This window comes from Homo sapiens, chromosome 4 (genome assembly GCF_000001405.40).
Source record: "Homo sapiens chromosome 4, GRCh38.p14 Primary Assembly".
NCBI classification, from domain to species: Eukaryota; Metazoa; Chordata; class Mammalia; order Primates; family Hominidae; genus Homo; species Homo sapiens.
Genome location: NC_000004.12, coordinates 93,789,186 through 93,811,681, shown reverse-complemented (window position 1 = coordinate 93,811,681; position 22,496 = coordinate 93,789,186). Strand labels below are relative to the sequence as shown.

The 22,496-nt window shown below is 37.3% G+C and overlaps 1 protein-coding gene across 3 annotated transcripts in view, besides 1 other annotated feature; it reads right to left on the bottom strand.

Annotated features, from left to right (window-relative positions):
* GRID2 (glutamate ionotropic receptor delta type subunit 2) overlaps nucleotides 1,226-22,496 on the bottom strand; it is a 1,506,491-nt gene continuing 1,485,220 nt past the window's right edge. For all 3 annotated transcript variants that reach the window (NM_001440459.1, XM_017008120.3, XM_047450132.1), the window contains one exon: nucleotides 1,226-4,967. In NM_001440459.1, the coding sequence (NP_001427388.1) occupies nucleotides 4,809-4,967 (159 nt within the window). In that variant the 3' untranslated portion in view covers nucleotides 1,226-4,808. The remainder of the gene's footprint in view (nucleotides 4,968-22,496) is intronic.
* Nucleotides 19,913-19,972: a silencer, noted in NCBI's record as "silent region_15573". NCBI's record gives its function as "represses an Ori minimal core promoter by ATAC-STARR-seq in GM12878 lymphoblastoid cells {active_cell/tissue: GM12878}" and the evidence as "EXISTENCE:reporter gene assay evidence [ECO:0000049][PMID:35858748]".

Here is a 22,496-nt window from a genome sequence, read left to right as displayed (position 1 = left end):
CATGGTTGGCATTCAATACAAGTTGAAAGAAAGAATGCTTTCAAGAAGTTTAGCCTTTTTTTAGTAGTTGCTTCAAATAATAGTTTACTTACTACCAAAGTTTGACCTATTAAAAAAAATTCTCTGTGTTGATTTTCAGCTTACAGATATTTAGTTTTGTTTGTGGGGAGTGAAAGATGGGGTATTTGGGATTATATTTAGAGTAGGTGCTGCCGTAACAAATGATATTATATCTTGCTGGTATAAATTATATATATTCAGTTCAAAATAAATTTTATTAAGTGAAGAATTGCTTGACCATTCTGGAATATTGATTGTAATTATCAGTTAGCATCTATCTGATTCAGATATCAACAGATACTCTGTTAACATTGAAGAGTTCTCTATAAATTCTGGGTTTTATAAAGACAATGCAAGAATTCAATAGACAAGAACCGAATCCACGTGAAAGATTAAAAACCAATTGTACTTTACCAAGCAGTCAGTTTAAGCCTAACTATATATATGGCATACTGGAAAAGACACACAGCAATATTCCTCTGTTAGTAACTTCCAGTCTCTCCTGCTATAGAGCTTATGGAACTGTCTCTTCTGGTGCCATTCAGATTATTTTCTTCATTCTTAACCCAAAGTCTGTACTCCACTGACTTCCTTTATTTTCCACAGTGATTCATGTCTTACCAGGTTCAGTTAGAACAATCACTTAAAAAAAAGTCCTTGTTGTCAATAGTAGAGAGCTCTTAGTCTGTTTGAAAGTGTGCAGAATTCAGACTTTAATTACAGAAACTTCCCCACTCTCCCCACCATTGTGTCTATTGGCCCAGTTCCATCTACTGCTGAAACTTCTAACGTGAGTTCTCTGAAAAGCCTGGCACTCTCCCCAGCTATGGGGAGTGGCTGGTCTCTGCATTCAGATACCTCTTTCTGCAAAATGCTGCCTGCATTATTCCTTTCCATCCTGAGTGTCTGTCTCTCACTGGGCAGTCTCTGCATTCTGATGCGGCAGTGGCAGAGTTGATTGCCTCTGACTTTTGAAAGAGAGGTACAATTTGTAGATTGAAGCTAACTTGAAATGTTCACTGTGTGTCATTATCAAACGTCACCTTGGCTACCCCTGGCTGGTGTTTTACTATAATTGTTTCGAGCTCACTCATATGTTATCTGTGTTAGAACATTGTCTCCCTTCCATACCGCCTTGGAAAAGCAAGTACAGACAAACTATTAATTAAAGTAATTTGTTTTTATTACCAACTTTAATCACCAAAGAAGGACTTGGAGTTCAATCAGGAAAATTATTTATTGACAAAATTTTTATTGATAAAATAATCTATCAAAGATTCATGAAAAAAATTAAAAATCTCTGAAAAAGAAAATTATATCAACCAAGATAGTAAAAAGTATGTCTGTGGGAAAGGAAGAGTTTTCTGCTTGGGGCTGGCTATGTAAGCTACATCAGTAATACCAAGGATTTTATTTCTGAAAAAGAAACTAGGATGTAGTATCGCAACTTACAAGAAAGGCTACTGTACGACAAACGTGTGGCCGTAGGTGACTCCATCCCCTGCCCAGTCTTATTCACTCTGGTACCTGTTCCAACATCTTAATTTGGTTCCCAGCTTGGATCTGTCTATTCTCCTTTCTCAGCTACCATGACCTGGAGATCATCTTGTTTCATATGCTTGGTCTGACATTTCAGCAACAGCTTTTCTTCCTGGCTTGGGCCTGCTCTTTGCTGGATCCTTTGGCTCAGTGCCTTTGACCTTGGGTGGCGGGTACTCTGAGTCTCTCTGGCTCCCTTCCCACAGCAAGTGGTGGTTGTAAACTACAATATAAGACACTGTTTTTAATTGCTAATGTTTTTTAGGTATTAAAATTAACTTTTAATATTATAGCCATAGGAAAAAGTCTTGGAATTTCTTAGTTCACTGAATTGGTGTGTGAAGTCAGCCATTCTGACTTATAGCAAGAAGGAAATTGTGAATTATTTTCCATTCCATTTGAAAATATTTTGGAAACTGATATAAACAATGAATCGATTTTTCCCTGTGATCTGCCTTCCTTGCTCTAGGAAGCTGAAGAATGAATTGTAGTTGAAATTTTCTATTTTAGGCTTAAGACCTTATTACAAAGTTTCTTGGATGCCAATTCTATCAGATCTTTTGTACATAGTCACCATTCTATTCGCTCAGGAGAACTTTTATAGAAACTTTATGTTATTCCTGGAGATACATGCTAATACGGCCTTAGTTTTGGATAAGCATGTGTATTCTAAGTTGAAAGACCTCCCTTTGTTTAAAGGATTGCTGGGTATCGGTATCGTGGCTTCATGGGCACTCTAAGCTTCTACACAGGACTGAAAGGGAGTCAGAGTTTCAGCCTGGAATACATTACGACTGGTCCAGTGAGACTGAACTCAAATTGGATCAGCCAATCAGAATCCATATGAAATAATCAGAAATGGAAGGCCAGGCTAAGCTTGGTCAAGTGGGTAAGATAGATAGGAAAAATGCTGGCATTCCTCATTGTGTGGATGTTTGTGTGTTTGTGTGTATGTAAGGGGAGCATATGGGATTTTAAAGCCAGAAACACATCTTATCATAGGTCTGTTAGACAGACAGGGAGTCGACAAATCAAAAATCAGAGAAGTAAGAGTCAGGTTGGCATCAGGGATAAACTGCTAAATGAAGAAATGTGTCACCAAATCCTTGCTTTAAATAAGTGTCTAGGTATCTCCCTTGGCAGCCCAATTATCACAGGTCAGGCAGTCAGGGAAGGCTTGTATTTTGTTTAATGGGGTCAGTGTCTCCTTTAACCAATCTTCTTGCTTTATTTTCGGAAGCATGCGCTTTCCTGGAATGGCTGGTGACTCCCCTGGCAGCCAGAAAGAACCCAGATGATTCCCTGAACCACTGCAGTAGTTCTCTGGGGCCAAGAATGGGTTCTCTGTGGACAACTGTCCATCAAGAGGGCTGGCTGATATCCAGGTCCAGTGGTATGTTAATGGTGGAATGTCTCTATGGCAGTAGAGCCCCGGTTTTGGTCCTCCGGACTACTTCTTTGTCATTCTGTGAGGTATCAGAATTTCCATCTGAAACTAGATATCCAGGAAGGCATGTACTTCATCTTCTTTGTACAATTCACTTGTGTAAGGGTGAGAGGTAGGAACAGAGTGGGTAAGAGTACATCCTTCAGGTGAATTATAGTATTGTATTACGTAGAGAAGATGAAGAACCCATGGAAATGGGGTGATTAAAAATAACAAAGTTTACAAAGTTCTTTCACATACTTTTCACTTGATTCTCACAACAACCCTGTGAGGTAGGTACAGTATATAATGTTTTTACTTTTATTTTGCAAAGAATGACACCAAAGACCAGAAAGTAGGTGATTTGCCCACAGTCATGGTAAGCACCAAGACCCAAACTTGAAGCTCTGTCTTTTGACTTTATAGCCTGATTTTCACCTGTGAGCAGCTACAACTTGAGGGTTATCAGTTTGATGACATAATGAAGAAGGTGCTCAGTAAGTGAACACCTAACTTGTTTGAAAGTCAGATTATTTAGAAATAATATATTAGTAAAAGAACCCATGGGATCACTACTTGTAGAGGCTCCTCCTGGACTGCTGCTTGTTGGCTTTAATCTTTTAGGTTGCTTTGGCATAATAGATCATCTGTGCATCAGCTTGGGCAACTGGGAGCTCCCTGGGTGCTTAAGGAACAGAGATGAGGGAATACTTATGGCCATTGTTAGCCTGTTCTAGCACTCTTCATGCTGTTTAATCATCTGGATTCCCCACTGGAATGCAAACTTCTTAGGGAAAGGATTCTGACTCATTCATCATTGTATTCCCAAAATGTAATACAGTGCTTGGCACATAGTGGTCCTCAATAAAAACTGATTGAGTTCATGAGGGGCTGGGATATTTCATATGATGCTTCCCTATTTTACTTGTAAAATACATTTTGCATTGAAGAGGTATTATAAATGAATGTGGAAGTGGGTATAAGGAAAACAAACTTATCTTAGCGCTGGGTAGTATATACAGGCACTGCAATTCCAGGGTGTAATCCTAAGATCCAAGTGATCTTTGTTTACAATGACACATGTACTAAGTGTGGATTCAAACTGGAGGCTCTACATTAGCCAGGAATCCATGCAAAATGTAGACATTTGATGGCCATTGGGGAAAAAGGTAATGTCCCTTGGTGTGGAGGAAAGTAGCCAATTTTGGTAAGTATGAAATAATGTTGTTCTAGAAATATGGAGAGAATTCTGTGATAAAACCTCCAAAGATGTTTAACCACAGTTACCAGTGATTCAATAAGCATTAGAAGAGCCGTCTGTCTTTTTCTGGTTAAGTTCTGCCATTCTCCTTGGTCCTTCATGTCTCCCTAGATCTCTGGCTATGAGAAGTCCTAAGACCCAGAGTTTAAAATCGTGCACAGATAGAAGCTGAGGACAAAGCTACTGTGGTATAGACTTGGACCTCAGTGTGAGTGCTCTTGACCAGGACATCTAGGCAAGAAGTCCACTGCATAGAAGCATCCTTCTAAGGCTAATGGGCTGGCGCAGGCAAGATCCATGACCTGTGGCTGAAAGCAGCAGTCCTGTCGTTACTCTTCTATGAGTGGATTACAGCAAGGATTTCTGTGTGTCACAATCTGGTGAGGTCAGCTTCCTTGAACTGGATAGGAGTTTTTAATTTAGGAGATAATACATTAGCTCACCAGTTTTGAATACAGGATCTAATGGGTCCTGAAATCAATAAGGTGGAAAACAGATCAGCAGTTCTTGTGCTGGTAGAGGTTATGGGTCATCCAGGGGTCCTCCCATTTGTGATGATTGGTGCAGGCTATGACTGGATGCCTGGCTTCTCCAGGTATTGCTGCCAAGTTTCAAACATGGCCTTAATGGCCAAGCATTCCTTCTTTCAGATATTGTAGTTTCATTCTGCAGGGATGAAGCCTGTGGGGAAATAAAGCATAAGGTCACATCAAGGTTGATTTTAGACAAAGTTTGGCTTTCCATGGTCCTATCACTACTTATAAGGCATTGGCTCCACCTTAAATGTCCATCGTAAACAAAGTGGAGCATGATGATTGATGATGCATACCTCCCTCCCATGTAGGGCTTCACAGGTTTTCTAGACTCCAGGCAACTGTCAAAAACCAGAGCATATTGGCTGCTGGTTCAATAGAACCTGTTTCAAGGAGGGCTTTGGAGTTCATCCAGGTCTGGATTAGGATACTTTGGTAGTTTAGAGTGGATAAGGACTTCAATATCTTCACCAGAAAATAAAGGCAGTATCGCTCTCACATGGAGAGTCAACAGAGAGTTCTACCAAAGTTGGTGTCGATATACAGTCACACATGAAATCCTGGAGCCTGTTTGCTTAGATCTTGAATCTTACATCTTGACTTTTAGTTATTGGTTCCAGACCATGCATAAACTTAAAAACACTAACAATTAATAATAAATATATAAATTGTACTATGTTTATAATCACAAATCAAATTTGATTTTGTCAAACACATTTTAGCCTACCCATATGAATATACGCTTTTTTTTGTTTATTTTTTTATTTTTCTGGAGTCTTGCTTTCTTGCCCAGGCGGGAGTGCTGTGGCGTTATCTCAGCTCACTGCAACCTCCACCTCTGGGATTCAAGCAATTCTTATGTCTCAGCTTCCCGAGTAGCTGGGACCACAGGCACATGCCACCACACCCGGCTAATTTTTGTATTTTTAGTAAAGATGGGGTTTTACCATATTGGTCAAGCTAGTCTCAAACTCTAGACCTCAGGTGATCCACTTGCCTCGGCTTCCCAAAATGCTGGGATAACAGGCGTGAGCCACCACACTCGGCCGAATATATGCTCTTAAATAAGAAACTTCCCTTTTTCTTGAAACCTGAGGAGTAGATGGCATATTTCAGCCATTAAATAACAGAATCAAAAACTGTAAATCAACAGCAGGAACCCTGAATGTGGACACAAACTGTGAATCTTAACTTAGGCCTGCATCAGAAGGGATCAGTGTGATCCTTACCTCTATGTCCTTGTTAGGAGAGCTTGTACCTAGGTTTCATGTTTATCAAAATCTTTGCTAATGTTACAGGATTTAGAGAAGACTGAGTGTTTCTAATTGTGTTAGTGGATTGATAGCACTTACCAGATAAATTGAATCAACCAACCAGTTATTTCAGCAAGTAATTTGACTGAACTAAGTGTAGAAATCAGCTCTAAAGACCTTGGAAGACACCAGAATTCCCATAGTAAGGTCTGTGAACACTAATTTCAAAAACAGTTTTCTCATTAGGCACACTTGGGAAACACTGCATTTTATCTACCTCTCTTGAAGATTTAATTATACAAGTTTTAAAGATTTTGAGAAGTCCAGTACAAAATAATTTATTTAACTATGTTTAAATCAATACGTCCCTAACATTTCAACATGAAGTTAAGTTTTTGAGTCATGTTTATTAGCATCTTTAGAACTGGTGCTACATAAAGAAACATTTAGGGAATTTTAGACTAGCATGCAGTGTGAAGAAATACTCATTTGCAAAATTTACACATTTCTTCACCAAAAAATAAATTAAGCTATTACTAATTATCTATTACTGTAATTGTGTTAAATTAAGCTAGGTACTTTGGAAAATAGAAAATGCACTGGTATACAACATAAAGTCTGCCCTGGATAGGCTCATAATCTGGTTGGGAGATACATCTACCATATTACATAAAACAATATCAACCACCTAAAGATTCCACATAACCAAGTACTAAGTTAAACAATGAAGACTAATAGATATAGTAGTTGCAGAGAGGAAGATAAAGTTTTAGAATAATAAAAGAAGAAATCATGGAGGAGGTAGGACTGGTTTTATGGGATGGCTAGGCTTTTGAAAGGTTGAGGGCATTTTTACTTGAGGGGCCCTGTGACTTCAAAGAACAAAAAGTTGTGCAGCAAACAACTCTTCTGCTGTATTAGAATCATTAAATTCTAATATTTCTTAAGGACTTCTTACCCAAGAACAGAATGTTACAGAGTATGGATCTCTTTTATTTGTCCCATATAGTCACATGATGCATAAGGATGTCTTGGTTAATGACAGACTGCATATATAATAATGGTGTCATAATATTTTAACACCATATTTTTACTGTACCTTTCCTATGTTTAGACATGTGTAGATATGCAAATACTTACCATTGTGTTACAATTGCCTGCGGTATTCTGTACAGCGGCGTGCTGTACCGGTTGGTAGCCTCAGAGCAATAGGTTATATTATATAACCTAGGCGTGTAGTAGGCTAAACCATCTAGGTTTAGGTGAGGATACTCACTCTGTGATGTTCACATTTTGACAAAAATCACCTAATGACTCATTTTTCCTGAATGGATCTCCATGGTTAAGCAACACATGACTACTATTAGAGTTCTTACCTGGTATATTATAATGAGTTGTTTAATTGTCTGTTGTCTGTGATAGTCTCATGGATGGTGGGGACAATTTTTAATTTATTTTTACATCCTAGTTTTAGATCCTAAGGAACACCTTGACATTCAGGGGCATCATGGTAGATGACACTGACCTTCAGGCTGGCTTGTAAAACCTGCAAAGTGAAGGACCCTTGGGATTCTGAGGGTCACATGAATGGTATGCTGTGCTTTTTTTCCTTTTCTCCCTAACATTGAAGATATAGGAACTGTGCAGCCAGGAAGCGCCACACACCTGGCAATTGGATGCAGTGTGATGATGGTTGTAGTTTTTTACATTTTTGTTTTTAATCTTTAGGAAAGTCTTTTGTCTGCTTTTTCAATTGTTGCATTCACACTTTGCAGTGGCATAAATGCTAATCAGAAAAAGGTAAGCAATTTTAAAAAAGGAACCACATAAAATCATATGATAAATTTGTGTAGTATATTTGAAAAAGGTGTTTTTTGTTTTTTTTTTTGAGACGAAGTCTCACACTGTTGCCCGGGCTGGTGTGCGTTGGGGCAATCTCGGCTTGCTGCAGCCTCCATCTCCTGGGTTCAAGCGATTCTTCTGCCTCAGCCTCCCGAGTGGCTAGGACTACAGGTGCGTGCCACCATGCCCGGCTAATTTTTGTATTTTTAGTAGAGACACGGTTTCACTATGTTGGCCAGGTTGGTCTCGAACTCCTGACCTTGTGATCCGCCCATCTTGGCCTCCCAAAGTGCTGGGATTACAGGTGCGAGCCACCGCACCCGGCCAAAAAAGGTGTGGTTTTGAAGGGAGAAAAAACTTGGACCATGACTCGCAACATTCAGAATTGGTACTCGTGCTTAATTTTTCTTTATCAATTCTACTTTTTTCTCTCTTTCTCTCAAGACAGGTTTTTGGGATAGTTGCTTATATAAATGATATTGAAATGATATAATTTTATTCTGATAATTACTGACATGTCACAGTATCAGAGTTGAGTGTGATTGCCCCCAAATTGTAAATTACTTGAAAATTTTAATTCTTTTATTTGCTTAAGAAAATGGAAGAAAATCAAAACAGAGGAAAACCCTGTAAATGAATTTAAAGATCACTGTAGTTCCTTCAGGCTACAAAATTCCACTGCATGTACATAGGATGTGAGGATTCTACCTTTCATTCCAGACTGCTGGCCAACTGAAACACTTTCTATGTTCAAACAAGGCCATTGGAGCAGAGCTTGGCTTAGTCTGCTAAGAAAACCTGACACAGTCACCTAAATGCGCTTACGATCTTTTGCACAAGGGGTTTATCAACTGCATTACACTTTTAAACAGGACACAGGGTCAGAATTTGGGGGTCTTACTTTCAAAGATGGAATTAGCATAGATTTAGAAAACATTTCCATTATTCCTTCAGTTATTTGGATCCTTGACCCTTAATTATGGTTTTTTTAAATTTATCATAGAGAATTTATCTTGTTGCAGAGATGTTGACTATGGGTTTTTGCCCTGAAATATAAAACATGCACAAAATATTGCAAGTAGAAATTAAAAATCTTACATGCTTTATGATAACAAGTACAGAAGGTGCAATATAGATACGGCAGTAAAGATGTTAAAGCAATGCACAATTCGAAGATTCTGATGTAAACACTATAGAGGAGTTACACAAAAACCATACTAAATTTATTTTCTTGGGACTTTGGTCATTGGTGTTGTAAAATGTTTTCTTTTTTAATTCTTGTGAGGTACTAGTAACACCTCATGAAATCTGCTCCTTTTTATGTTCAATACATCTCTCTCTCTCTTTCTCTCTCTCTGTCACACACACACACTCACACACACACACACTCACTCTCACACATAGAGTCAAAGTCAATGGCAGTGGGTGGTTTATGTCAGGGCTGGTTTTGACGCTCCCCTCACAGAATAAGATAAATGTAAGTGATGAAGAGCTCCTGGGGTTGCCTGAACTCATTTTGTATTCAACACTTTGCCTGGCCCCTTTCTCATCTCTTTCTCCCTCTCTTTGTATGTTCAAGCCTACTTGAGTTTCTTTTTTCTTTTGTAGAACTTGGTTCTTTTGATGTGTTTCAGGGCACGCCCTGCGGCAGAAAGAACTTCCCAGGAATCGGAAACATAAGCATACAGGTCTGAAACAGCTACTGTACAATAGACAGAAAGCTCCAGGCCTGGATGCTGGATTCTCTGTCTCCCTCAAAACACCAAAATATGTAGGAGGGGGCACACATGCAGTATATTCTACATACAGGATTTTAAAGGGATATATGCTATATCATTTAATTGCAGAGTAGGGACTGGGTAAGATTTTTAACGTGGGTTGAACCCCTTATAGTAATTTAACCTGAGATGTGTCTGTATGCATTTTTATATTGATTAGTTTAACCAAATTTCCCCCATAATTATTAGTGAAGTTGTTTCTGTTTTACTGTTAGTATGACATCAACATATCTGAGATTTTCAATAACGCATGGTGTTTAGCTATTTTATTTCTCATTACTTTCCATTAAAAATGTGAGAAAGTGCAGTGCTTTAACTATTTACTTTTTTATGAAGTTGAAAGAAATGCTGTTGTAAGTATTGTAAAACTACTGTTAGAAGGCGCTATTTACATTATTAATAGAAAGTCTACATAGAAGGAGGAGTTAATTATTTTATACCCAATATCAGTAAATCCATTTGTGTAAATTAAAAATATTTAATAAAATAGTGTTATATTTTATTTAGAAGTCTCTGTTTACTCACATATCATACTTTATGTGACAAATCTTTCAGGACTATGTCATTGAATTAGAACTTGGAACTGAAAATAAAAAAAGAAAATAAGAAAAAACAGTGCAGTTTGTTTACACATACACAAACTTATTCACCTTAAAACTTTCAAATTAAACTCAATTTTAAATAATAGTTAAATTTAACTTTTGCTCAGGTCTCTAAAATACACCTTTTATTTTAAAAACTAAACTGAAAAGGGAAACTTAACTAGAAATTTGGTAATTATCTGGTTTGTTTAATTGGTTGGGAAAATCAATCTATATAAATTAGATTAATTGCTTACTTTCATATAAACAATTGAGTTCACTCTCATGCAGGTATATTACCAAGCTTACTGAAAAAATAATTTGTTACTAGCTAAATAATAGATCTGGGAAAAAATAGAAATTTGACCAACAAACGATTATTTTCAATTAAATTTGATTCAGTTTATTAGTTGTATTGAGCACTAATTACGTTTTTGTGCTAATGACATTACCTATTAACTGCTAGGAAAATAATTAGCAGTAAGATTGAATTCATTCAGTGTTTTCCAGCATATTTTATGCCTAGGTGCAAATAAGCCAGCTAATTGCCAGAATTCCTTTTAACGTTGGTGTCTATATCTACAATTTAAAAGAAAGAAAATTGATTCAATTATTCAAATATTGGCTAAATACATATTTTAACAGTAGTAGTAATTATTTAACAAACTGGGAATAATTATAAAATAACTTTCATCACTATAATGTCTCTTAAATTTCTTCTATATGTATCCAGGTTACTATTTATAACTACCCATGCAAGTATCTAAGAAAAACATAAAAACTTTTTGATAACAGTGAAAGTTAAGGATTCATGATACCCATTAAAATGCTATCTGGGACATTTAATGGGGGCCTTTTTATTTAAATAAGAACCAAATCTTTAATACAATACAAATACATGAGTAGAAAAGAAGTATTTCTGTCTCTCTGATGCAACATAAACTAATCCTGTTTGTTTCCTCAATGCTACTTACATCTCTAGAAATTGGGTGTTTCCAAATTGTTCGATCCAAACTTGATAAGATACGTGTCAGACATTGCAACACTTTTCAGCTTTATGGCAGTGGCTGCCCAGAAAGGGTCATATCATTTTCCCATCCTCATTTGTAAATGTCAGTGAAAGCCACAGTTCTGAAGAAGCAATGCACAGAATCTCCTCGTTTACACAGGATTGCTGCTATCACACTACATCGTGCTGATTGTCATATCATATATTTTACTTGTGCTAGAAAACTTCCCTTGCTATGGTTACCATTGTTTCCTACCTCTTTCCTGTGAGGCGTTATCGTCAACCTATAACATTACATAGGAATTTGGTAGGTTAGGTATTAGACCAACTCCTACTCTACATATTAATCCAAGCCCAGGAAACATAGGAGCTTTCATTTTTAAAAATATGCAACATTTAAGAGAAGTTCAGTCTTTTAAATGTTTTGATGCATTCTAGACCTAGCGATGTTTTCATTTATTTGATTCATGAATAAAATAAGATTTCCTTAGTGTCTCACTGAGAATTATTGTAGTCATATTTATAGAACTCAGTAAGGAAAACAGACACCTATGAATTAATTCAAATATGTTTCTTTTTAAACAAAAACAAAACATAGCAATTTGATTAGAAATTAGTTGAGTGAATTCAATTGGATTTTGAATTAAACTTTTAATTACATAAAGAAACAAAGGATATACTTGAGATATCACATCTAGCTAAATCATACTAATTGATTATCTTTACTGATTAAATATACCAGATAACCACATAGTCTCTATTTCACTGACTGGAATTGTTCAATAATGTAATTATTCAAATTTTAGTTATTAGCTAGCTTCCAAAATTTTTATTTCTATTTATTTTAAAAATCAGTAGTCACTTGGCTCAATTTAACATTTTCTGTTCTTTTCTTTTGATTCCCTCCCCTCAAATATGCCTATGTAGATATAATCTAAAGATTTTTGTTAAAAAAAAAAAAGGGGCTGCAGTTCTGTAGTTTCCCCTTGAGCATATGACCAAGTTTTAGGGACTTTAGGGAGTATCTATTCCAAATCTCTCATTTTACAAAAGAAGCAGTCTTGGAGAGTTTTTAATATTTGTCACTCAAATCTAGGAACATAGTAGGCCCTCAGTAAAGATGTGTTGACTGCTGAAAGAATCAATTTAGAGTCACATAAATAAATACAATACCCATGGTACTTAACAGTGCATTGCAATGACTTACTTATAGTAAACTTTTATAAATACGATTTCTAGCCACAATAATACTGAGGCATAAATTATTAATAGATCCTATTAACTGTAGAAGCTATTTAACATGTGAAGTAACTGAGGTTGAGGGTCTTTAAATGGTTTGCCCAAGATCAGACCGCTAAGCAGTGGAAGAGCTGAGATCGGAGCTCCTGTTCTCTGAGCCTCAGTGAGTAACCACTCTGCCATATTGCCTACCCCCTGCTTTTTTCTCTGTATTGTTTTTCTCCATTCTTGGAATGTACAAGACAGGAACTGGTGTTATGTATCTTTGTAAGCCTAGCGTGCTGCATAATAAGAGCACTCAACCAATGGTTGCCACATAACAAACCCAGGGCTCTGGCCTCCTGGTCCAGTTCTCTTTCAGCCACACCATGATCCATTCTGAGGGTGGGGAGAGGCATTGGAAAGGTAGAGAAAGACTGAAATCTCTAAAGCATAGAACTGCTTTAAATCACTTAAACTAGTAAAGTTTATTCTGTGTTGTCAATAACACATAAGAGCACTTCTGCTTCTTAGATATGAATTTAAAAGGACAGATTTTTTAAGCAGTTTCTGGATGCACCTGGTACATATGTATTTAATATGATGTGCATAAATGCATGCCCTACTCACTTATGTGGATTTAAACATGACTTGGGGAATCCGATCATAGTCATTCCCAAGGTTTTCATTCACCTTTCCCTCCAACCAGGTTTGTGCCAAGATCCTGGGTTCCTAAACACAGTCATCTTGTCTAGGCGGCCCCTAAGGACATGGGTCCACACTTGTTATCTAGTAAGATGCTTATTGTCCTAGGCTGAAGGGAGAGTCTCTTCAGGTCTAATGGCTTTGCTATTTCTGATCATGTTTTGGAAATAAGATTATTTGGAAAGACTGTGATCCTACACCACAGAGCCTCCCCTCCCCTCTGAGCTCCTGTGACATTTACAAGTTTCCCTTTTATTGACAGCACAATCTCCACAACCCATTGACTCCTGCTCCTCTTTTTATTTTTTATTTTTTTTCTTCTTGAGAAGGAATTTCACTCCTGTCGCCCAGGCTGGATTGCGATGGTGCGATCTCGGCTCACTGCAACATCTGCCTCTCAAGTTCAAGCAATTCTCCTGCCTCAGCCTCCCAAGTAGCTGGGAGTACAGGTGCATGCCACCATGCCTGGCTAATTTTTGTATTTTTAGTAGAGACGGGGTTTTGACATGTTGGTCAGGCTGGTCTGGAACTCCTGACCTCAGGTGATCCACCTGGCTCGGCCTCCCAAAGTACTGGGATTACAGGTGTGAGCCACCACACCTGGCCTTGCTCCTCTTTTTTTTTTTTTTTTTTTCATCCTGGGGAAAACTTTTCTCCTTCTTCTCTCTTAATATCTTTCGAATAAGTCTCTGGTATGTCTGCCTCTCCAGAGCTAACATTCTCTCTCTGATTAAGTTTTTACCAAAGACAGGAAAAGTAGCTGATGAGTCTGCTTTCCCCTCTGCAAAGTCTCCCAGGCAAAGAGACACACAGGGCCTTGACTCTGAGCTTGGAGGAGGGGAGGAAAGGAGGGAAAAATGCTGAAGTAGAACACAAATTGATATTTTAAAATTATCCTACCACAAATGCTTTTTGAGTAAATGCGTGAGTGGTTCTGACACCAGCCACCATCATGATGAAATTATAATTGTAAATTTGCAGGCACCTTCCTCTGTATCTTTCCAAGGGCAAATCACTTCAGCATCTCTCCATTAATAGCTATTCAGACACATTTTTCTGCAGAACCTCTAGAAAGTTAGCTTACAGTTAGAAGCTCAAGCACATCGCAGGTTCTCTGTACTGCAGGAACTCATTTGAGCTTCTAGAAAAAGAAGTTTTATTCAAAAACATGTATTAGAAATAGGAATTTCCTTATAAAACCTCAAAAAATAGCATCTATTTTGACATGTAAGTGGAATTTTAACACTATTACAGTAATACAGCCATGTTTCACATAATGACATTTTGGTCAATGATGGACCGCATATACAATGGTGGTCCTGTAAGATTATAATACCACATTTTTGCTGAGCCTTTTCTATGTTTAGATTCACAAATACTTGCCATTTTGTCAACATTCAATCAGTAACATGCTGTAGGGTTTGTAGCCTAGAGCAATCGGCTATACCTCACATCGTAGGTGTGTAGTAGGCTATACCATCTAGGTTTGGGTAAGTACACCCTATGATGTTTACAAAACTGTGAAATGACCTAACAATATATTTCTGAGAACGTACCCCATTGTTAAATGATGCATGACTGTACATTAAATTGGATAGCTTAACACTCTTTACAAGTACGTTCCCATGACTGGCTGGGTGCAGTGGCTTACTTGATCCCAGCACTCTGGGAGGCCAAGGCAGGTAGATCACTTGAGGTCAGCAGTTTGAGACCAGCCTGGCCAACATGGTGAAACCCATCTCTACTAAAAATAATATTAATAAAAAATATCCAGGTGTGGTGGCACATGCCCGTAATCCCAGTTACTTGGGAGGCTGAGGCAGGAGAATCACCTGAACTCGGGAGGTGGAGGTTGCAGTGAGCCGAGATAGCGCCACGGCACTCTAGCCTGGGCGACAGAGCAAGACTCCGTCTCAAAAAACAAACAAACAAACAAACAAAAGAAGTACATTTCCATGACTGGTTCCTTCTGTGCCCTGTAATCTCAGATCAAGTATTACTGCTCCAGAGACTCCTTTTCTGACCACTCTACATAGATTCCCCTCTGCTTGTCTCCAACTTCATTTCCTTTGCAACCATTTCACTATCTGGAATTAGCTTCTGTGGTAGGCAGAATTCTAAGATGGCTTTCAAAATTCCCCCTGTGCTATATGAGTTTTATATAATCCTCCTTCTTTGCGTGTAGGGAAGACTTGTGACTCTAGTGGAGTATCAATCTTTGATTAGGTCACTAATCAGTCAACTTTGAGTTAATCAGAAGCTAGATGATGGTGGTGGGTCTGACCTAATCAAATAGTCCCTTCAAAGGGACTGGGCCCTTCCAGAAGTCAAAGACATTTAAAGCCTGGGAGGGCATCTGGAAATGGCCACCTGGGGAGCTGTGGGCAACCTTAAGAGCTGAGTGGGCCTCAGGTCAATAGCCAGTAAGAGAATAGGGGCCTCTGTCCTGTCAGTGCAAGGAACTGAATTCTTCCAGCAACCATGTGAACTTGGAAGAGAACTCCGGGCTCCAGAAAGGCGGCTCAGCCAACACCTTGCCTTAAGCCTTGTGGGTTGCTGAGTAGAGAAGAAACTTGGATTCTTCCACACGCTCCTCAATGCTTTCCCCAACTAGCTGCAGTACATTTACTGCCTCATACTAAGCTTAGAAAGTCAAAACAATCTACCTTTGGTTTTCACATGAACCACTGCTGATAATATAATTGCATTTAAGACCTGTAGCATTATACACATATTCCTGTGTAAATAACGTTGGGATTAATCCCGTAATTTGGGATTAATAACATTTACAGAAGTTAGGAAGAATCCTATACTTGCTCACCTGTTTACAAGAGTGGTAATAAAATAATCTATTAAAGAAATACAATAATTTTAACTAAAAAATTATACCAAGCAATAAAGGTAAATTTGAAATGTTGTATTTCAATAAATTTATTTATACTTATTTTAAAAAGTACCAAGCTTAAGTTTAAATTGAAGGACCATGTTCTTTAGCAAAATATACACTACTGCCTTTCTGTTTATTGATTCTTTCTCTTGTAATTTTTCACTTAATGGAAATCTGTCATTAAGGTGGAAATTAAGTAAAGGTATATGATTCCTTTTTAAAATAATATATAACATATATATAATACACACTTACATAGTCTTTTTCTTCATGATGCTTCTATAAGTCTTTTTGCCTTATTGTGATTTCCGAAAGTATTTTCCTTTAAAGATTTCTGTTGGTTTTGAATTTTTTCTACCTGTTATAGTCACACTACTATATACTATAGTAATAATGTATTATGAAAAGAAATTATTTTTGTGCTACTGTTCAAAATATTATATCTGAGATTAAATATATCATAACTATGATTCTGCTCATTGTATCTCTTAGTTTTTTGTCTTTATGCTAAAATATCTTCTTATGTGAAAAAGTAGGTTATTGATATTTTAAACTCAATGTGAAACTTAGTCATCAATTTTGATTTACCAGACCATTACAGTTTGTTTTCTAAAGTAAATAAGGTTACAGTAATAAGTACTTCATGGGAGCACTTAAAGATGATACATTGGGGAATGTAAAAATTATTAGCTCTTCTCATCTGCCTCTCACAATCTTTTCATCCTGAAGCTTTCTCCTGAGTCTTCCATTCATGAAGAATATCCTAGTAGAACAACAGATGCAAGGAATTGTGAGGAGAGAAGGGGAGTGGGGAGAAAAATGGAAGAAGAAACTGGTTAAGCACAGTTTATTTCTGAGGGGAATAATGTTCCTTAATTTAAGCTGCATTATGCAAAACAAAACAAAAATTATCTGCAAGTTGGCAAACCCTGCCAAAGTGCAACAGAAGTGAGAAACTGAGTTAGCAGGCATCAGATTTGAGAAAGGCTCGCCGAGACGCTTTGAAGAAAGCAAGCTGCACGACCCCCATCCTCGGGCATAAATAAACTCCAAACAGACTCATTGGCCATGAAGGATGAGATGTGGAGGTGCCGTGGCGCCTGGGTCTCTGCCTCTCCACGGCTCCTTTCCCTAAGTCGTTCTGGTGGGTTTTTGTGTCCCAAAGTTGTCCCTATGCAAACAACAGGTTGAATATTGTAGGTGTGGGTTATTAAAGTGTCCCTGGGACAATGGCAGTCTGTGTCCCATTTGTAACGCTTGGATTAATCTTTGGAAAGTGCACACAAAATGTGACATGATGTTGGCTTCAAACATTATTCAGTCTGCATAGCAGCAAATCCTGCCCTGTCTCCCTGGAAATAAAACTCCACAGACGTATCACTGCCATCTAAAAGGAACCTATCATTTATGCTCAAGATTAGGGACACCCTGATAGAATTGTTAGGAGTTTGATTTTATAGTTTGAAGAAGCACTCACAATGGAAACAAATTATACTCTAACATCTCATTCACAGATTCCCTAAAGAAAGTCAGTAATCAGGTAAATCATATTCTTTTTTTTTTTCTGCAGATGGGAGAAATAAGAAAGGCTTTATCTTTTTAAGACAATTCCACATTAGTTTAGGATTATAACCCAGAACTGACCCCTGAAAAGAGGGAAGATTCTTGGCATTTCACCCTTTTTAATCTCATTTTTCCTTTTTGATTTTAAAGGTTCTGGAGGAGCACTAAGATGTGAAAACTGGATGAGAAAAACATGCCAAGAAGAGAGAGCGTTCATCATATTTTCTGTTTGCATACGTCCTTGGTGCTTCTGAAGCTTTGAGGCTTAGCTTCCCCTCATTGTACACAGGAAAATTCTTCTTGACTTATGTGTGTTGTTCACAAAAGTACTAAGTAGCATCATGGAATTTGAGAAGGTGTTTTCTCAAATCATTTGTTTTTGAGTGTATCTCAATATTACAATTTCAGAAGACAATTAGAACTAGGATAATAGAAATATAGAGAGAATGCATGTTAAATTACAGACAAGCATCAATGATGGTTGAAATTCCCATAGAACCAAGTTGGAAAATATGATCTGTCGTTTAAGACCAATTCCACACATAGGAGGAATTGGAAGTTGCCTAACAAAACAGATTTAGGCACAAAAGTCAGGGCATTGTTCTAGAACAATGGTCTTTAAAGTGTGCTATAGATCAATGTTTCTACGTTCATTATCAGAATCTAATTACTCTGAGTGTGATGTTTTTCTTTAATCTCTTAGGGAAGGAGGGCATCTTCAAAGCCTGCTAGGTGTGGCTTCTTTTAAATTCTGTAGTATAGACATTTTCTTACACAGCTTTTGTATGTGGATCCATCGAAACACCAAAAATAAACTGAATGCTTAGTCCTTGGTCTGAAACAGTCATCCATTTTTCTAATTTCTTGCCTTTTAATAAGTAAATTTTATGAATTTTAAGTTATACATTTATATTTCAAATACTGCTTTAATTTGTTTGGCATAGTGGGATCGAGCATAAGGTTTTATTTAGAAAACAATACAGTTTCCATTGAAAAATAGGTTAAAAAGATACTTATAAAGGACTATGGCTAAACTGCATGTACATTGTTTCACAGTTTAACTAGAAGAGGTGGGAAAAATCTGTGGAACCTGACGTCCTACCTGGAGCAGTGGATGTGGCAGTGGGTAAAGGAATAGGTGGGACCTCCAGCTGGCACTCACAAACCACCATGAATCGTCCTCTCCTCCCCTCCATCATCAATCAGAACAACCCGGGTGAGACTGAGGTTTCACCATGGATCACAAATGCCCTTGTTGTATAGACTCTAAAATTGCACATGGCCTCTTTCTGATGTGTTCTCTTTCTTGGACTTCATTTTTCACCTGCCATATGTCTATTTGGACCTGATGTTCCAATAGTTGCATTGATTTGTGTTATCCTGACATTCACTTTATTCAGAATTAAAAGTGGGGTGAAAGGGGTGTGGTAGGGTTCCCAGCATGATTTTTGTTCTGGGTCAGCCAAAGGTGAAGGAGAAGCAAAACTGAGTTAGGCCAATGCAAAATTGGCCTAATGTAGGTGAGGAAGAAAATGGTCAATTCATAATTTTGCATTGGCCTAACTCAGTTTTCAGTTTTCATTTTGCGGGTGTAGGTCAGGTAAAACCCAGCCTTCCAAGAAGAAAGTGGCTTAGTGAGATGAACAGAGCACATAAGAGAGGGCTAGGTGTGGGGGAGAATTAAAGGTACAGATGTGTATGTTGCCAAACTAGCCTCATAGCACCACTTTCAGTAGGAACAGGCATTCTCACCAAAATTGGTGAAAGGGTTAGAGAGGGAAGTGGGATTAGAATTGAGTTAACTTTTGCTGACAAAAGTCTTTGTTTTCTGATGATTTGGGCAGCAGGTTGGGGCTTGGAGGTGTCATAAGACTTTATTTAGAAATTATGAATATATGAAAATAATATGGACAAAATATTTCCATTTCTTTTCATTTTTATTTTTATGAACTAAGAAAACAACAGACACAAAATACCACCATCTACACTCAACCCTTTTGAAAGTACACTGTAAATCATCTATATTTACAAGTTTCAGATACATTCTTTTACAAATAGTAAACATTAAAACAACCTAAAGGGCTTAAATGATGGGCTTATTCATCGTTAAAGGGAAGAATAAAGTCTATTTAAAATACTTTATTTTTCAAAAGAGGGCTGAGACTTTTCACACAATGCTGTTTGCTCACAGAAAACAGAATTTAAAGCTAAACTCTCAACAAATGATACCACAGCGCCACCATCTGGCTCTACAAAAGACAGCAGGGAGTCAGTCTGTACTAGAGGAGGAGGCCCGTGTTTTCTTTCCTGGTGAGCATTTGGAGAAACAAGAAGGGGACTCTCAGTGTGACTCTGTAATTGTCACCACTTTGGCTAACATTCAGGGTGCAAGGAACTGCCTCTATTTCTTTTTCTGTTTCTATTTTAATTTGAAAAACAAACACATTTTTAGTGGATAAAACCTTTAAAAATGAAAATCTCCTTAAAGTTAGTCTTTCCTTTTTTTTTGGACAACAAATATAAAGACCGTTTTTAGTCTGAAGAGTTTGTAATTTTAGTGGTGGTTTGGTAGAGCTTCTCTAAATAGACCTGCCTTACTAATTTTCAACTTGCCTTGGATATGACCTTTTTATAATGTTGCTGAAGTTTCCTTAAGTTCTTAAAGTTCTAGACATATTTAAGATCAAAACATATTCCAATACATAATCAGAACAATTTTGGCCCTGACACGAGGTGGTGCATATTTAAAAGTCTGCTTTTAAATGCAGTGGAATACAATGTATACTTCCAAAATCTGAATGTCTTAAAGGTTTTTTTTTATTTTATATTGCAGGTTTACAAGATTGCACAAAATTGCTAAATAACAGGGTGACTAACACATATGTTTTCATTTGTACATCTCTCTAAGAAAGATCTTTTAGAACTGGATTGGAAGGTAAAATGTTAGCTTTTATTGTATTTTACACTCTTGCAGCATCAATCTTTAATTACCACTTGCATTATATTAAACAGAAATTTGTACAGAATAATAACGGTAGAACACTATTTTGAGCCTACTGTGAACAAAGAACTGTGCTAAGTGTTTTACGTCTATTAAAGCATTAAATCCTTTCAGATATGATGAGAAACGTTCTATTATTACTTCTGTTTTGTGGGAGAGGAAAATGAAACACAGAGACGTTCAGTAACTTGCCTAGGGTAGCACAGCTGACAAATGGCAGATGTGAACCCTGGCTTTTAGACTCTAATTTCTTTGGGCTGCCACTAACTTTGTTCTCTCAGGATCTTCTAAAAACATTTAACATTGTATGTTCTTTCATATTATTATGTTTTCTCTTTTTACATGAACATGTTTGTCAAAAGATTAGTTTTTAAAAATGTTATTTTAAATATTTCAATAATTTTATAGTTAAGATCATGCCACTGCACTGCAGCCTGGCGACAGAGCAAGACTCTGTCTCACAAAAAAAAAAAAATTATAGTTAAATAACATTTTTTGAGGGCTAACCTAAAGAAGCAACCATTAGGTATACCTTTTCCCTTCCTTTGGAATAATGCATTATGTGTTTAAAATAAATGACTTGGAAGTGAACTTCTGGAAATGAACTTTTTGTAAGTCCAAGACTGCTTTTATTTTACGCTATTTTCTATTTTAGATTCTAAGTAATCATTGTAGATATATTGAATTAGTCATGCTCATTTTATTGTAACGTGTCCTAAAAAGTTATTAAGAAAAATGTTTATATTTTGGCTATGTACAGAGAAACTCTTCAGTTTTTTTATTGCATCTGTTAGAATGCTTGGAATTTTCTGAAATTCTCTCTAGGGCAGTGGTCCCCAGGCTTTTTGGCACCAGGGACAGGTTTTGTGGAAGACAATTTTTCCTCCACGGATGGGCACGGGGTAGGGGTGGGGTGGGGGTGACAGATGGGGTGGGAGGAGGTGAAGTGGGGGGAGGGGGATGGTTTTGGGATGAAACTGTTCCACCTCAGATCATCAGACATGAGATTCTCCTAAGGAGTGCCCAACCTAGATCCCTCACATGTGCAGTTCACAATAGGGTCACACTCCTATGAGAATCTAATGCTGATCTGACAAAAGGCGGAGCTCAGGCAGTGCTCACTTACCCCCATTCACTTCTTGCTGTGCAGCCCAGTTCCTAACAGGCCATGGATTGGTACTGGCCCATGGCCCGGGGATTGGGGACTCCTGCTCTAGAGGTTCATATATTTCTTAAATTTATACTCTATCAATTTTAGGGAGTATGTGAATATTTAAATCTTATGTAACAACTAGCCTCCGAAACTACTCATAAACTGATCTTGAATTTTCTTTCAAAATTGAAAAATGTTTGATATGTCCCATATTATTCTGATGAGAATAGAAAAATATGAGGCCATTTGGAAGTTTTACTGTAAGTTGGGTCAAATGCTTTATGGGGAATAAAAAGGAAAAGTGTGGCACCAAAAATATTAGAAGAATGTACTTTTTTGTGCTGTATGCTGGATTGGAAAATTGATTTTGACCAAGATTATGCTGGAGTCACTGGCTAAGTTACCATTTGGCATATTAGGTAATAACAAGTATTCTATGAATTGAAGTTGTCACTGGGACATTAACAATTGCTTTACTTAAACAAAAACACCTAATTAGTAACTGATGTGGAGCTCAGACATTGTCTTCAATATTTCTAAGTATTTTTAGACAAGATATGACATTTATAACAGTTCTACTTATTTCTATTCCTTTTAAATTTCACAATTGCTAATTTAGGTGCAATTCAAATGTTTAATATAGCAATTAAAATAATTTATATGGCTATCTGATGAAAATGTGAATTA